This window comes from Homo sapiens, chromosome 4 (genome assembly GCF_000001405.40).
Source record: "Homo sapiens chromosome 4, GRCh38.p14 Primary Assembly".
Lineage (NCBI taxonomy): Eukaryota > Metazoa > Chordata > Mammalia > Primates > Hominidae > Homo > Homo sapiens.
The window spans coordinates 139,842,745-139,860,016 of record NC_000004.12 but is presented as its reverse complement, the minus strand read 5'-3'; the positions used below and the strand labels follow the sequence as shown (position 1 = coordinate 139,860,016).

At 40.6% G+C, this 17,272-nt stretch overlaps 1 protein-coding gene across 2 annotated transcripts in view; it reads left to right on the top strand.

The window, feature by feature from the left end:
* Positions 1-17,272, top strand: part of MAML3 (mastermind like transcriptional coactivator 3) — a 437,432-nt gene that overhangs the window by 294,168 nt on the left and 125,992 nt on the right. The gene's annotated exons all lie outside the window — the stretch shown is intronic.

Genomic DNA, 17,272 nt, shown 5'->3' with positions numbered 1-17,272 from the left:
ACTCGAGGCTCGGTGGCTGCTCCTCTAGCCCCTCCCGCGACGCCTTCGTCCGGTCACTCCGGCCTTGCACCCTGTGGCGCTCAGGCCTCTCCGCTCTCGTTTGCTCTCGTACAGACGGTTTCCCTAAAAAAAATCTTTACACGTTTAAAACCTTCTCGATGTCGATTTTTTGGAAGACCTGAGCTAACACATTATTTAAGAGGATGCGTTTAACAATGCAGGATTCAAGCTTTAGTTCTCAGCTAATTACAAGCAAGGTAATTAACCTCCTTACGTCTCAGATTACTCATCTGTAAATTGGGAATAATTTTAGTATATTTCTCATAAAATTGTTGTGCCTATTAAATAAGAGAATGCCTATAAATCAAGTAACACAGTTCCTAGCACTTAGTAGATACTGCTTGTTATTATTTTTGAAGTTAACACTATTTTCAGTGTTCTTTATCACAATGGTAATAGGTATACTATATGAAGTATACAAGGTATTCTACATAAAATATAGTAGAACTTGGCTGGGCACGATGGCTCACGCCTGTAATCCCAGCACTTTGGGAGGTCGAGGCAGGTGGGTCGCTTGAGCCCAGAAGTTCTAGACCAGCCTGAGCAATATAGTGAAACCCCATCTCTGAAAAAAAAAAAAAAAAATTAGCCAGGCATAGTGGCCTATGCTACTCCGGCAGGAGGATTGCTTTAGCCCAGGAAGTGGAGGTTGCAGTGAGCCGTGATCATGCCACTGCACTCCAGCCTGGGCAACAGACCCAGACCCTGTCTCAAAAAAAAAAAAAAAAATGTAGTAGAACCTCTGCTAATGTTGGTGTCATAGGGTAAAATCAGAGATGTTTTTCATGTTTTTCCTGGAAGTGCATGCCTGGGACATGATTTGACTAACTATATTAGCAACTCCTGGTATCCTGAGGTGCTTTTGAGTGTGGTTTTAATGACTTGGGCTGCCTTTTGATATTCACTGAGAGCTGGTATAGTCATAATCATGATGGTATTCTCAGAGGTGAGGGATATACCTCAAACTTCTGTTTTTACTCTGTTTTCTAGACTCCAGTCTTGTTCATAGTAGACAGATACTGCTCATCTTGAAACCCTTCATTGTAGATGACTTCAGATCCAGTAATGATTAATTTCAGTCTTAACTGTGGTTCATATTCTAAATTTCTCAGTGTCCACTGAGATTCCCAGTGTTGAAGGCATTGTATCCTGGATGTGTTCGCAGGGTTAGTGACATGCGGAAACCATAGACTGGCACATGTGAATAAGAGCTGCCCGGGTGATCACAGAGCGGTCGGGAGCAGAGACACTGCTTGAGAGGAACCCAAAGACCTCAGGCAGTGCCGCCCTCTCAAATCTACTCCATGGCTTTGTGCTTCAGAACACAGGACTCCTTTCAGTGATTTTTACTGAGTATTAACTAGCTGTGTGGGACGCACAAAAGCATGTGACATGGTCTTAGCATTCAAGGAACGTACAATGAATTCATTTTTTAAGTGGAGTCTCATAGTTTGACTGAATGGAATAATTTCCATTGGCATTGCAAAAAAAAAAAAAAAAAAAAGCCAAGAATCATCAGGCTACCCAGCCATAGTTCTGTTCTGGTCAAAATTGTTATGAATGACTTGGATAAAATTATAAAGGGCATGTTTATCAAATTGGACATGACCTAGGGCTGAGAGGAATAATGAATACAGTACATTGAAGAAAGGAATGGAGATCTAAAAAGATCTTCACAGTTTCAAAATCTATCAAATCAAAAGTAGGTGCATAATGAATCAGTGTAAAGCACACCAATTACTGTGTGACTTTAGACAAGTTACTTAACCTCTCTGTGTCTTTGTGCCCTTGGGTGCAAAATAGGAATAATGGTAGCACTTACACATAAGGTTTTGAAATCAGTTTGAAATCAGCACATTAAAGTGCTTGTCTCGCCTGTCACATTGTAGATACTCAGTAAATGAAGCGAGTACTCTTTCCAGTCTGCAGTTGCCTGATGGAATTATATGGTAACCCAGATTAAGGTGGGGTGGTCCACTGTGACTGCACTCGTCAGACCACGCTAGGTGGCATATGTCCATTGAATGCCACACTTGAGAGAGAGAAAGAAATTGGATTTTCAGAGGAAAGTAGCTACAATGGTGAGAAAACTTAAAATCATATGATGGAAGGTTAAAAGAACTGGGTCTGTTTTGCCCGAAGTAGGGAAGACTCCAGTAGTACATAATAGCATTTTCTATTATTTGAAAGGTTCTCATATTGTAGATGGCTTAGATTTATTTTCTATCTAGGGGCCAAAGGTGGATATTTCAGAAAGACAAATTTTGGCTCAATCTAAAGGAGACTTTGCTAATATTCAGAGCTGCTCAAGGATGGTAACAACCTCCTCAGGAGGAAATGAAGTCCTTGTCACTGGAGGTGGTCATAGGCCAAATAGCTACTTGATTAATTGATGGGGAGACTTGGGTACCTTAAATGTCTAACCTCTGAAATTCTGTGATTCTGAGAATCAACAGAGCTATTTTAGCCAAACAATAGGTAAGAAAACTTATTATCAATATGTTGGTTTATTATACACCAATGAAGAAAATCCAAAGTCACTAGATCAGAATCTGGCAGTGGCAACTTTCCTTTCAGGTTTGAAGGGGGTGGGGTGGGGGACCTCTATCATGTTCTGGAGCAAGCGCCCTCTCATCCTCTGTCTCTTGGCTTTGTCGGATGTATTTGAGCCCTCTAGCTCAAAAACAGACCTTCCGCTTGGCTGGGTGCACACAGCCAAATAAAGAGTGGCTCAACAGACAGCTTACTGTTTATCTTTCTTAATCTCTTTTAAACCTCTTCCTGCCTCAGCCAGCAGTAAACCAGTTGCAGAGGTTAAGCTGGCTCCCCACTCCTCTTTCTTGTTGGTGTTTAATGTCGCTGATATTTGTATTTCCTATTTGCTTTGGGTGGAATTTATTGTTTAAAATTACAAAAACTTCATTATGCCTATGCTAATTAATTATCTTCTTTTATGTTTTGTTTTCGTGACTTTTTCTTTCTTGGATTTCCTTCATTTTTTTACTCCTACAATTAAAATTCAGAACCACATAGACAGTTTTGCTTTCCCCTTTGTGTATTTAGATTTATTGTTGCCTTAAGCATCTGTTAATGTTAGAAAATAGCATACAGATATGGGTTATTAGTTGTAGTCTCCTAAGAGTTACAAATTATTCAATAATAACAAAGATTATACTTGTTGATGTACTTTCTTTTGGTGCATAGAATGGGACACCATAATTCTCCTGTACTCTTCACAGAATCACAAAGTTTAGAGGTGAAAGATTGCCGATTTTCTTAAAGGTACAAGCTTTTCAGGGCTTATGTGTGGCTTCAGCTCTGACTCCAGCACTTTACAACTTCACAGAAGTTCGACAAGAGACTTTACTTCAACCTTTAACTACCTGAGTACAACGTATCAGGATGAAGACAACCATTTGCTTTGTGATCACTGACAGTTGACTCTCTGAGTGCTACCTGCTCATTCTGCTTTCCCAATATCTCCATCCAGAAAACTGCTTTATGCTAGAGGAGAGAGTTAAAGTCAGTCGCTGCTTGTGTCCGTCCAGGTCTCTACATTGCAGGTCCTTGTAGTTCTCCTTTTTCCAACAGGAGGATCCCTCTCCTGAGTTCTCTCCTCTGTCTCCATTTGAATTCGACTTCGTAAATGACAAGTTAAATTCATCTTATTGCTTAAGAATATTTTTTGACTGCACTAACAGGCACCCATTTATGCTATACACTTTGCATAAGATCCTCATTTCCAGTGGGCCTTTCTCTCCATTTATTCCACATATACTGGACAGCTACCAAGTGCCTTGCATTGTGCTGGGTAGGAACAGGGGAGATAAAGACAAGACATTGGCATGGCTCTCCAGGAGCTTTTAGTCTCTTGTGGAGATAGACAGACAGTTGCACTGCAGTGTGGAATGAGCTAGAGTCCTGGTAAACACAGGTCCATCTGGAGTCCTGAGGGATGGTCCAGACAAAGGGGACTGAGTCCGTGTATAGCAGAAGGAGTGGGATCCAAACAGTGTTAAAGAGTGACTGGGAGTTTTCCCGAGCCTACATTTGGAATAGAACAATTTTTATACGGAATTTTTATTAGGAAGCATAGAGTGGTTTCCTCATAATAACTTTATTCTGTTTTCCTGTGGACTCATAAAATTTTTTGCTGCCATATGAAAATTAGAACTTAAAAAGAAGGGGTTTGTAATGTAGTCTCCACAGGCCTGGACCAGGCACATGCTCTCCAAATGATAGCAAACCTTTGATGCCCATGATAAAGATGAGATAATGTATATAAAAGCACTTCATAAGGTAAAGGAAGCAATACAAATGTGAGGTTTTACAACAATCAAACATCCTTTTCAGAATATTTTTCACTCCTTATAAATTCTCCGGTGATTTTTAAACCTGAAAAACTGAAATGCTTTGGAAATATGAAGCAAAGAACACTATGCAATGCATGTAGATATGCCACTAGGATGATAAATCTAATACATGTGTTGAAAAACAGAGGAAAAATAGAGAAAGGTCTTTCTAAAATACCTTAACTGTAAAACATCCCTGAAGCCATTTCACTTGGACAAATTTCTTTTCTCTAATATATACATTGATAAACTTTTTATTCTGACGTTGTTTCATCTCTTTGCATGAAATGCTTTTCATCTTACTGCAGCTTCATTCCCTCAGACCTCCAAATGTGTCAGACCCTGAGATTTATTATACACCAGCACGTAGCATAGGATGAAGTTCATATTCAAATAGAGTGAGGACAGAATTGCTTAACATGTAACACCTGCTCCAGCTATACCCCATTCATCCTCTGATGAATCTCCTAGAAACTGCAGACGTCTGAACATGCTCAATTCTAGTGGTAAGAGATGGAGCCGAAGATGCAGAGCCACCCCCAGGCTCAAATCCATTGATTTAGAATTGAAAGTGGATCTACATTAGTGATTAAACAAACTTCATTTCCCTTTCTCCTGGGTGAGAGCACATGGCTGATTTAGGAAATAGAAGGAGGCTGTGGCGGGGAGTTGAGAATGGTCCCAATGAACCTGAGGAGTCTAAGGCTCAGATTCCACAACCAGGCTGGGGCCATCAGCACAGCAGGATATCCTTGCAGTGGAGTCTCACAGCTATACCATGCTGCTGGAGAGACCACCAGATGACCTGAGTCCCCACCACCGTGTTCTGCAACAAAGAGCAGGCCTTCCTCCTGCACTAGCACTCAGCCCTGTAAGTGATCTTGGGCACGGAGTGAGACTGCCCTTAGGACAGAGGTCTCCTGGACTGGGGACTGTGGTCGTGCTCTCCCTGTTGCCACCAGGCCTAAACCAGCATTGAGTGGGACATCTGCAGCTTGAGACTATCCAAGAAAATGTTCCTCACCATTAAAAAAGAGCACTGAAAGATGGTTTTATGGATGATACTGTCACTTAACATCACTGATATGGTAGACCTAGAAGGGCCCTGAGAGCACATCCAGTCCCCTCAATATATGCCTGTCCCTGGGCACACTAGATATCACAATTAGCATAGAATGTGGGGGGAAATTGACTGTAATAGTGGCCACAAGATTAGGTTTATAGCCCATATTTTGCCATTAATTTGAACCTTGTGGATTTAAGCAAGTCACTACACCTCTCTGGCCCTCCATTTTCTCACTGAGAACTGAGGAAGCTGTATAGGTAATAAAACAACTGACATTTCTTGAACACTTCTACATGCCAGGCACTGAACTGAAAGCTTTGTAGACATCAGACTTAATTCTCAAATGACCTGTGAGGCTATATTCCTCAGTTTTTCAGGTGAAGAAACTGAGGCATAGAAAGGATAAAAAAAAATGTGGCCGGGCACGGTGGCTCATGCCTGTAATCCCAGCACTTTGAGAGGACGAGGCGGGCGGATCACCTGAGACCAGGAGTTCGAGACCAGCCTGGCCAACATGGTGAAACCCCGTCTCTACAAAATTACAAAAAAATTAGCTGGGCATGATGGCGCATGCCTGTAATCCCAGCTACTCAGGAGGCTGAGGCAAGAGAATCGCTTGAACCCAGGAGGCAGAGGTTGCAGTGACCCGAGATCGTGCCACAGCAGTCCAGCCTAGGAGACAGAGCGAGACCCCATCTCAAAAAAAAAATAAAAATAAAATAAAAAATTTATCCAAGGTCTCATAGCTGCTCATAGCTGGTAAAAAGCAGAGCTGGTATTTAAACACCCCTCTCCACTCCCACTCCCCCAACCTTGGAAGGTAATGAAGTTTCTTCCCCCATTAACATCTCTGATTTTCTGACTGCAGTGCCTAAAGTCCTCAGCAAGTGCTAATAACACTGAGGTGTTATTATCAGCTTGGCTGTTCTCTTCAGCTTCTCTGGGAGATAAAGCTTGGGGTTGATCAGAGATCATTTGCCTCCTCCTGAAGAGGCTTTTGTGTTCTTATCACCCAGCCTCTAAAGAATGTCCCCTAGGTACCTCCAGGCCATCTCCATCTCCATAATCCTCAAAGCCTCCTTCCTGCTTCCCTCCCCCAACCAAACTCAGCAAATACACCTGCAGGCCCCCCACCTGCCCTACTGTCTCTTTGTTTATTCAAGAATACAAGGATTATTTATTCCCTACCTGGAACATATATACAAGCATCCCCAGCAGGGTTAGTTTAGTTTGATTTTTACCATTTTCAAAAGGGAAACGGATACTATTATCTTGAGGAAAGGAGCAACTTTTTAAATGGTACCATTTGAAATGGATGAACTTTGAATACAGATTAGAAGCCTGTCCTTAGTCTGTATGTATAAGGGAAGCAGAAATGAGAAGTGTAGAGTTCCCTGGAATGTGTGGATACTAGGGCTGACTGTGGTTCTGTAACTGAATCACTTTCTGGTTCTGGTCACCTAGTCATTCTGTAATGTCAGGTCTTGTCTGTAACACAAGAGGGTAGTAGTAAAGTGTGTACTGTGTGTTCCTATTTATAAATCACTTTCACATACATTACTTCTTTTCAATTAGAAAATAAATAAGAGAACTGAGGCCCATCATAGAGAGTACAAGACTTGCCCAAGATTGCCCAACTGGTAAAGGGAAACAAAGCAAGGAGACAAACCTAAGGTGTTCTTTCCATTTCACAATGGCTGAGTCAGTGAGAAAGGCAGAGACATAACCAGAATGCTGCATTTTGGCAAATGTGACGTTCCTGGAATGGATTACTAACAGTCTAGAAACATAGAAAGTACCATGCAATTAAAAACACACAGTCCAGGCCAGGCACGGTGGTGCACACCTGTAATCCCAGCACTTTGGGAGGCTGAGGTGGGCGGATCACTTGATGCCAGGAGTTCGAGATCAGCCTGGCCAACATGGTGAAACCCTGTCTCTACAAAACTACGAAAAAAATTAGCCAGACATGATGGCAGGTGCCTGTAATCCCAGCTCCTCTGGAGGCTGAGTCAGAAGAATCGCTTGAACCCGGGAAGCAGAGGTTGCAGTGAGCCAAGATCTCACCACTGCACTCTAGCCTGGGTGACAGAGTGAGACTCTGTCTCAAAAAAAAAAAAAAAAAAAAAAAAAAACAGTCTTCTGAATTTTGGTGAGCTTTGGAAATACAGAAAGTTACCGACAATAGGTTTCACACTTCTTTGGACCTATGGTGCTTTCTATGTCTTTTACATTTTACTCTGTGACCATGACATGGTCATAAGTTGATTTGCAGAAAGGTTATAAAGAACCAAGAAACTTACCCCCAAAATTGCTATGCCCTGCAAAGTTTTCATCCAGCTTTGTTCAGTACCCTGGCGAGGATATGCTTGATTAAAGGATCTTTAGCAATTGAGAACAAGTGTTCAATAATTCCAAAGTTTGTACTTCCAAATTTGTAAATCTATACATCTGTATTATTCTGTATGTTTACTCTAGCCTGTGACATAGAGCCAGAGTGAAGATTGCTAAGGTGCCAGTCCTGCTCAAATTTCAATTAGCAGCAAGTCCTAAGGTACTCAGGGTCTTAGAACCCGTTGGTTTGTTTTGGAGAGAGACCACGTACAAACTTAGAAGAGCGGCTTTCACTTCTCTGTTTCCTATCAGCAATCCCTCAGCTATTCACTCAAGAGATCTCTAAGGTCAGTTTCTGGCAGGAACATCCCTTCACACTCCTCCAACAATCAGTCATTCACAAGTGGCCATTATTTTAATATGAGCACATATACCTATGCGCCAAGATGATTACAGTCTGCAAGCATAGCCATGTTTTCCTATTTCCTTTGTAATCTCAAGGGTAGTCCTAAAGCCATGTACACAAAATCCATTTTCCACTTAAAGGCCTGAGCCAATGCCCCCAACCAGCCTATCTTACTTTTATTCTTTATGTTAGCCCCATATCGCCAAGTAGGAACATGGTCCTCTGTTTAGAAAACGGAAATAATGAACTGTATGTTGGTTGTCATTGTTTGAAAAGAGAAAACAACCCAAAGACATTCTACATTCTAAGACAATTTGGTTGCTGTTTCTCTTGCTTTTCTTCCAAATTTCTCTCCAAGCTCCAGGGCTTACAGCCTTGGGCACTGGCACTGTAAAGTGGATTTGCAGAGCCAATAGGAGCTGGCCTTCCTCTGAAGAGTCTTAAAAGGCCCTGAAGAAGGAAGTAGTCCAGGTGGCGTGTTATATCTGTGATGTCAAACATGCAGGGCAAACCGGTAGCTGACCTAGACCATAGATAAACAACACCTTTAAGAAGTTGGATGGTCATACTGTCATGCTGTATATTTAAGAAAAGGCTGGCCTTCAGTTCCTAGTTCTGGTCAGTTCTAAGAGCCCCAGAAAGAAGGCTGTAAGATTATAAAACCATTGGTACCTTCAGAGAGCCTGGAGGGACAGTATTTGAAAGGAGAGCATACTTAAAGTTCTAGAACCCAAGTTGCCAGAGTAGTGAATGCTAAAACTCCAAAGATAGTTCATGTAAAATTACCATAATTTCCCACTTTTCTGGAAAGAGGCTCTTAAAATATGGGTAATTTTCTAATGTCAACCATATCTTACATTTTGGTAGAGGGCTCTCTCTCTCTTTTTTTTTTTTTAATCTTGCAAATAATCCTCTTTCTGTCTTAACATAAGTATATGTGTACATCAAAAGCTTTACTCTCAACAATCATTTTGGAAGCAAAGAAAATATACATTGGGAGGCTGAGGTGTGTAAATCACTTGAGCTCAGGAGTTTGAGACCAGCCTCAGTAACATGGTGAAACGCCCGTCTTTACCACAAACACAAAAAAATTAGCCGGGCTTCGTGGTATGCACCTGTGGTCCCAGCTACTCGGGAGGCTGAGGTGGGAGGATCGAGGGTCGTTTAAGTCCGGAAAGCAGAGGTTGCAGTGAGCCGAGATTGTGCCACTGCACTCCAGCATAGGCACCACAGTGAGACCCTGTCTCAAAAAAAAAAAGAAGAATATATAAGGTTGAGGTTTATACCAGTGCTAGGTGTTGATAACAACCTAGCTTATCTCATGGGCTAATAGCCTTGGACAAAACCATCTAATTTATTATCCAAACCAGGGCACTTTTGAGAGTGAAAAGGGGCACTAACCAAAGAGGTCACCAGGACAACTTCTGTAAGCCAGGAAGGTCCTGGCAGATCAGGATGTATGGTCACCTTAGTCATGCAGAGTGAGATTAACTGGATGAACGAGGAGTGCTGAGACAGTAATAGTGACTTGAAACTATCCTTTAGGATGTTGTTTTGCTTTATTTAAATGTTTACATCTATTTTACACAAAATGATATAGAAACTTAGATTTTATAAAACACTGCTTGCTTTTCTTTTTTTAATTGTGATATCAGGTACAAGACAACTGGCTACAAATACATAGGGTGTAGGGGGGGAAATATACTGAATTGAATAAAATTTAGTGTCAGGCAAGTAAGAATTTTAAGCAAACTGAAAAGTTGGTTGACAATACCAGTGCTATTTGTCTGTAAATCTCATGTAAGACATGAAACACATTTTTTATATAGTATAAAGGTCCATGAGTATATTTGTTTATAGTTAGCATATCAAGCCATGTTTCTTCATAAGATCATTTTCTCTGTAACTCCTATAAATGTACCAAATATTATTTAAAATGTTAACAGTTACAGAAAAATCTCCTTTCAGAATTTTATGTAACATTACAAGGAAGCATGCTGATCCACAAATGAACCATAAAAGGATATTTTGATAGGATAGAGCAAACATGACAAATTAAAATCTGAGTGGTTAAGTTACAGTGGATCTCATTGGATTAACTGTTGTGTACTTCAGGGTTCTGTTGCCATCACGTGCAATATTGTTACAGTGCAAGTAATTTTCAGACTCAACATTTAAAATTCTTCTTTCCTACTGAGGCTCCTTTTACCTTCATCATCACCCATTCCTGCTATTCCTCCTTCCTGTGAACAAACTCATGATATAACCTCTTAACTGGGGAGCGCCAACCCCAGAAGCACAGTTTAACCTGTTTATCAGCTTTGAGGTCAGATCTTGTCTTATTTGTCTCTGCCCCGTGTTTCTTGTAGACACAGCGTCTGGACCCTCCTTTCAGTTATTTGCTCTAATCCTTTTCTACAGGAAGTTCCTAGGGACCAATCATAGCCAAGCAGTTCATACAGTTTTCCTTTTAACCACTTAGTCTCTGGTCCAGAGAACCCCTAGAATCCTAATATAGAATCACAAACCTAACTTTGCATTCACACCTACACAGCAATTCAAGTATGTCTGGTTTTGCTCTCTATAATACCTATGTTTGTTCATTATTTTTCCCCTTTTCTATGATCAGGATAGTCATATATACTATTAAATAGGAATCCATTTGAAAAAAGATGATGTTAATGCACAGTGCAAGAAACAGTAAGATCTAATAGTGTTTAAATATATATGTCAGGAAGAACATTGCCAGAAAAGGAGAGCAGTGAAAAGGGGACATAGAGATTGCTGAGCAAGAAGGGAAAGAAACAAAAAGATGTAGGGGCTCATTCTAGCAGGCTGAAAATGGGGGCATTTTTCAATTCAGCTAATCTGTGTTAATTGTTTATAATCTGAGCCCAAAATCATGGCCAAAGAATACATTTGGTGTAATTTCATAGCGTAAAGCATGTCCCTTTTCTGATCACTATATCCTGTGTATTGAATTTCCTCTAGAAATTGACTTGCCTTTTCTCTAGTCTTAGAGGGAAAACAATCTTACTTCCCACCTATTTCATAGCTAAAACTTAGACAAAACTTACTCTATTCTCTTCTTTTGTGTTTATTTATATAAGACGTAAGTGCATATCTCTCAAGAATTTTTTAATGGTCAACATTTTATTATGATATTATTTTGCTTAGCTTGGGATTTTTCATGAACTTTTGTCTTCTTAGAAAAATAATTTGTACAGATTGGCAAAAATAAGAAAATTAAAATCACCAAAATTCACAGTGCCCAAAAATAGCCACTGTCAGAATTGCTGGTGTGTTCAATGTTGTTTTTTGTTCAATCATTAAAGGGCTATTTTTGAGGGAAGGACTCTGCTCATTTCAACATTGTTGTGTTTGTAGATGCATATATCTCACGCATTAATGCTTCTGGATCTATATGAGAATAATTTTGTTAATGACTGGAATATGTAACCAGAAAATATCTGACATATGCAGCTTCTGCCTCAGCTTTAACGGTGCCCTGGTGAGAAGCAGCCGTCGATGCTGTCATTTCTGTGCACACACACAGACATCCATCCATCATGAATATTTAAAATTCAATCATTAGGTGCAGCAGCAGCAGTGGCAGCATATTTGTTGCAACTGATCAGCCACTAATGGTTTAAAAACTTAGAAATTGGGGGCTTCTTTTGTCAATTGAAGAGGATTATTCCAAGCCACTGAAGCTCCTTGTCAGAATGGAAAAGTGTATTAAAAGAGATAAGATTGCACACCCCAGGGTCGCTTACAATATGTAATTTCCTAAGCACACATGCTTAAAAGAAAAATAGATCAAATGGATGAGATTGGAGATCCCTAAAATAGTCTCCTGTCCAGATCAAACATACCACCAAATAAACAAATAAACAAACAAAATAGCCTGAATTCTGTTTCTTCCTGAGTCCCATGTAGATTTCTGGTGAAGAGAGCTGTGCTTTGTGACCTAGGCTTGCCACTCAGTCATCCATCCCTCCAGATTAACTTTCCTTTTCAAGCAAGCTTTTCACAACAATAGAAGCAGCAGTGTATTCAGTTGTCACAATAATCAAGTGAAGCATGTTTTCTTCCATTACCATGAATTTGGTGATCAGCAACAGGGCATAGCTAGAAAGTATTTTTGAAGATTTTACCTCCTGTACTTAATTGATCCTGTTCACCAGGGCAATCAGCTTCCTAGTGCTAGCAATGGCACTTTGTTTCTTAATCAGTTCCCAATTCTCTAAATCATATTTAAAAGGCTTTGTACGGAAGCCCAGAAAACAGTGTTCCAGTTTATCTGATACCTCCCTATGAACTGAGCGGTCCCAAGTGTTTGAGGGAGAGACACAGTATCAGGTGTGCATGGAAACATGTGTAAAACAAGCACTGCGGGATTCCGTGTGACTCTTGCAGGACTCCTTGAACAATATTTTTATGATTTGCTCAACGGATTGAATCTGAGTGATCTTGTACTCTCCATGCTGCCCTCTGCACCCAACTTCCCACACTATTCTGGACAAACTGGGGTCTAGGCTAACCCAGAAGAAAAGAACCATATATATATTTTTGTTTGTTTGTTTTGTTTTGTTTTTTACACAATATAGATACACAATGTGAATAATGGAGGAAAGAGGGAGGGGGAAGAAAGCTGAGAAAGGAAGAAGAAAGGAAAAGAGGAAAGAATGGAGGGAGGGAGATTTGTCAAGTGGTGAAATTTGTACCATTTGCAAATCAGTCAGCACTCAGTCCCATTACCCTGTCTCTGGCCTGTCTTCTCATAGATTCGGAAAATCCTAAGTGTGAACTGTGAAAATCTTACTGAATGATGTGGGAAGAAGCAGATCCCTCCAGTCTCATTACACTTTTGGGGTTTTCCCCACCTTTGTGCTATCAAAGAATTGTGACATGGCCTCACTGGGGAAAACACACAATTTTCCTCCAAAAGATTACAATGAATCACCTTGATTTTCTAAATTAAAGGATATCCTAATAAAGCCATGCAATAGGTATTTGAAGTATACTGGAGAAGGCCAGAAGCAAAAATGTTTTAATGGAGCTGTATTTTAAAGACTGTGCCTGTAAAGAAAAGCTCTGTCTGCTACCAAAAGTCATATAAACTAATGGCTATTTTAAAATACATCTTTAGTCTGGGCATGGTGGCTCACGTCTGTAATCCCTGCACTTTGGGAGGCCAGGGTGGGTGGATTGCTTGAGCCCAGGAGTTCGAGACCAATCTGGGCAATATGGCAGAACCCCGTCTCTGCAAAAAATACAAAACTTATCCTGGTGTGGTGGTGCACGCCTATAGTCCCAGCTACTTGGGAGGCTGAGGTAGGAGGATCACCTGAGTCCAGGGAGGTTGAGGCTGCAGTAAGCTATGATTGTGCCACTGCACTCCAGCCTGGGTGACAGAGTGAGACCCTGTCTCACAAATTAAAATAAATAAAATAAAATACATCTTTAAATATAAAATAATATTTAAACTATTATTAGTAGGTTGTTTCTTTCTTAAACTCTTCCTCTTACAGACAAAAATATGTAGTTTGGTGATAGAGTCTGTCTAGTAAAATAAAAATAAAGTACAGTGCTAGCTTCTTATAAGCCATAGTTTAGTCACCAAGGCTTCTGGCAATCTGTAGGTAGGAAAATTAAGGCATAAAATGATCTATCAAGATTTGCATAAAAAGCCACTCATAAGCCGAGGAGAAAGCATTTCAGCTCCTGGATTTTTTGTCACTGTCAAGCTGTCACAAATAACTATGTCTGCTTGGAGCATTTCAAACTCTGAGTTCTCTGTTTATATAGATGTTGGGATTTCCTCCCACTCCTAAAAATATATTCTAGATGAAGGGGTTAAAGATCAACATTACCCTGCTAAACCTTACTCTGACTCAAGATTTACTTAACGAACTGTAATTTTACTACTGCACAGATTCAATCTGTTGAGCAAATAAAAATCATTTTGAAAATGACCTATGTATTTATTCAGTTTGTATTTCAGAATTATCATAATATCAGGTATAAGGGGATTGTGGTACCAATGAAACTATTCTATACCATTCACCATAGATTTATAAAGGAGACTACAAAAGAGAAAATAAGAGATGACATCATATGAAGTGCTTTAGTTCAGATAAAGGAAACATCCAAAAATACTGAGATGAGTAAAATTTTATTCAAAGTAGGTTCCTGCTTTGTCTTGATCTCAATCCATTCTAACTCCTGATGTCATTTACCGTGTGAGATCTTAGTACAATCATGAAAAGAATATGAGCATTTATCAAAACTCTCTGACATCTGTATGTTTAGAAATGAACTTACACAGCAAAATATGATTTCCTTGCACTTATTTAATTTTTCTAACTTCAATTTCTACCTATGTGTCTCTGCCAGTTTGACCTGATTCAGACACCCAGAACTTGAATAAAGAAGCCCTCTTCTATTTTCATTCTTAATGAATATACCTTTTCCCATGTCCACATTGAGCCTCCCTTCTGTGTACTCTGTCTAATGCAGCCACATGTCTAGTTCCCCCTCTCTGTCACCACCCTCACTTCTTCTTTCCCATCTTCTTACTTCTTTGGTGTGACCTCTCTGTAGGACAACATGCCATTTCTGATTCCCCACACACATACCCTATCATTGATACCTACCCTCAGGATTAGATTCTGTCTAAGTAATTTGTAGAGCCATCAGGCTTTAGTAAGTATTGGACTGCAAGTCAACACCCATTATCTCATCAAAAGGGATGCTGTGTTGGGGCAGAGGGAGAGAGAGAGAGAGAGACAGAGAGAGAGACAGACAGAGAGAGAGAAAGAGAAATAGAAAGTCTCTTCCAGGAGAAAAACCATATTGATGATATCAAAAGGAAAGGAAGGTGAATAGTGTGAGCCAGAATAGGACTAAACAAATGGCAGGCTTTTGTTCAGCTCTCTGGCATCTGGACAGCAGCTCTCTGCTTCTTACTCAACCTGTCCCCAGGCTCTCTGCAGTCTTGTCTTCTGGTCTCATTTTATGTCATCCCACTATTGATGAACAGAAAATTTGGGCAGCTGCCCACCATCCCTATATCCCACCCACACTGTCAACAACAGCATGTGAAGAGGAGCCATGTGGCTGCAGTGGTAAGGAAGGTACAGTCTATGACCAAGAAAGAGACACTAAGTAGATGATTAAGAGCAGTACACACTGCTCTGACAGCCTTATTGTCACAACTGATTTTCAGGATGTTGGCAGTGATTCTGAAGCCTGTAGAAATTATCAGGTTTTAAGGGATTGAGAGTTCACCAGTGGTCCACTCTTGGTGAAGTAGGATGCCTTGCTTGGTATTGTTAACTCCCACATCATCTCTGTGCCAAGAAAAAGACAGCACAATGCCACCAACATCTAAACAGTGGCATCTAATTGATTTCAATCTTAGTTCAACAGTGTGACCAGAAGGATGTTTCAATTACCATCACCATATGGGACACTGAGTGTCTGATTAGTAGGGATGCTCCTGTTCTTCATTCTTTAGGCAACTACTCATTATTGCATAAGATGTTGTCTCTGATGATGAAATTGTATCCCAATGGACTCAAATAGTATGCATAGAAACTTGAAGGTGTTTCGCTTACAGCCAGAGTGCAACAGAGGTTTTGGAACAAGCTGGGTCCTACCAGAGCCAGAGGTGTAGCAGCTGCAGACTTCCACTCTACCCGCACCTCACATATTAGTTGTGAATTTGATAAATGCCATCCTGAAGAGCAATTGATTTATTAATTAGCTGATTCAGAATGTTCTTAGGACTCATTTGGGATATGGAGTCATTATAATTTAAAAATGTCAGCGCAGTGCAATAGAAGATGAAAATGGCACCTCCCAGGGGCCCTGTGGGCCAAGCTTTCTCCTTTGGTGAGTGGGGTTTCTCTCGATGGCTACAATGCCGTCCATGGGAAGTTGCTTCATCAGACCCAAACAGTGAGGTCTCAGGAAGTGAAGAAATGCTCATTTTTTGAAACAGAAGCTGAGGTCCAGACTAGGACGTGATCAGACCAAGCAGGACAGTAATAATTTGGTTATTAAACTGGAGATAGTAGCAATTTCATTAGAAGACTCCGAATTAAGATACTTCAGGAGTCATTTCTAGAGAAACCCCAACTGTATATAATTACCTACATCTATGAACAGGTAATCCTATAAATTTTCTAGCAAAACAGTTGGTGAACTAAGAAGGGAAAATATGGGCTAGATTAACTTATTATGAATGTTAATTCATCAGGTTTTGGGTTTTACTTTTGCCTTGTCCTTAAACATGGGTAATTAAGACCTGTCAGTAGTGTAAGTTGGGATTTGAGTTCAGGATTTTGGAAATATTCTAATTCCCTGTATTGGGACTAGGTAGTAAATCTAAAATTGTGATATATCAAGTTATTTTCTGGTGTGTTTTCTAAATTTGAGCACATGGACCCGAGAGTAGACACATCTTAGTATGTACTCAGCTTTGGGCAAAAGATAGATGGCGTCACCTTTCTTCGCATGCTGAGCTCCATAGTAGATTGAGGACTTGGGTTGGAAGCAGTAAGGTAATTGCCAAAGCCCCATTATCAGGTGGGTACACGTAGAGCTTTTGGGAGGAACAGATGCCATAAGTTATCAGTTTAGTCTTACCTTCTCTTTAGAGGGAAAAGAAGTTGGAGAAAGCGTCTGCAGCTAACAAAAGGAACTGGCCTTGGCTGGACGTGGTGACTGGGGACTGTAATCCCAGCACTTTGGGAGGCTGTGGTAGGCGGATCACCTGAAGTCAGGGGTTCAAGACCAGCCTGGCCATCATGGTGAAAACCCCCCGACTTTACTAGAAATACAAAACTTAGCCAGGCATGGTGGCACACACCTATAATTCCAGCTACTCGGGAGGCTGAGGCAAGAGAATCACTTGAACCAGGAGGCGGAGGTTACAGTGAGCCGAGATGGCGCCACTGCACTCCAGCCTGGGCAACAGAGTGAGACTCTGTCTCAAAAAAAAAAAAAAAAAAAAAAAAAAAAAAAAAAGGCAAGCGGATAACTTGA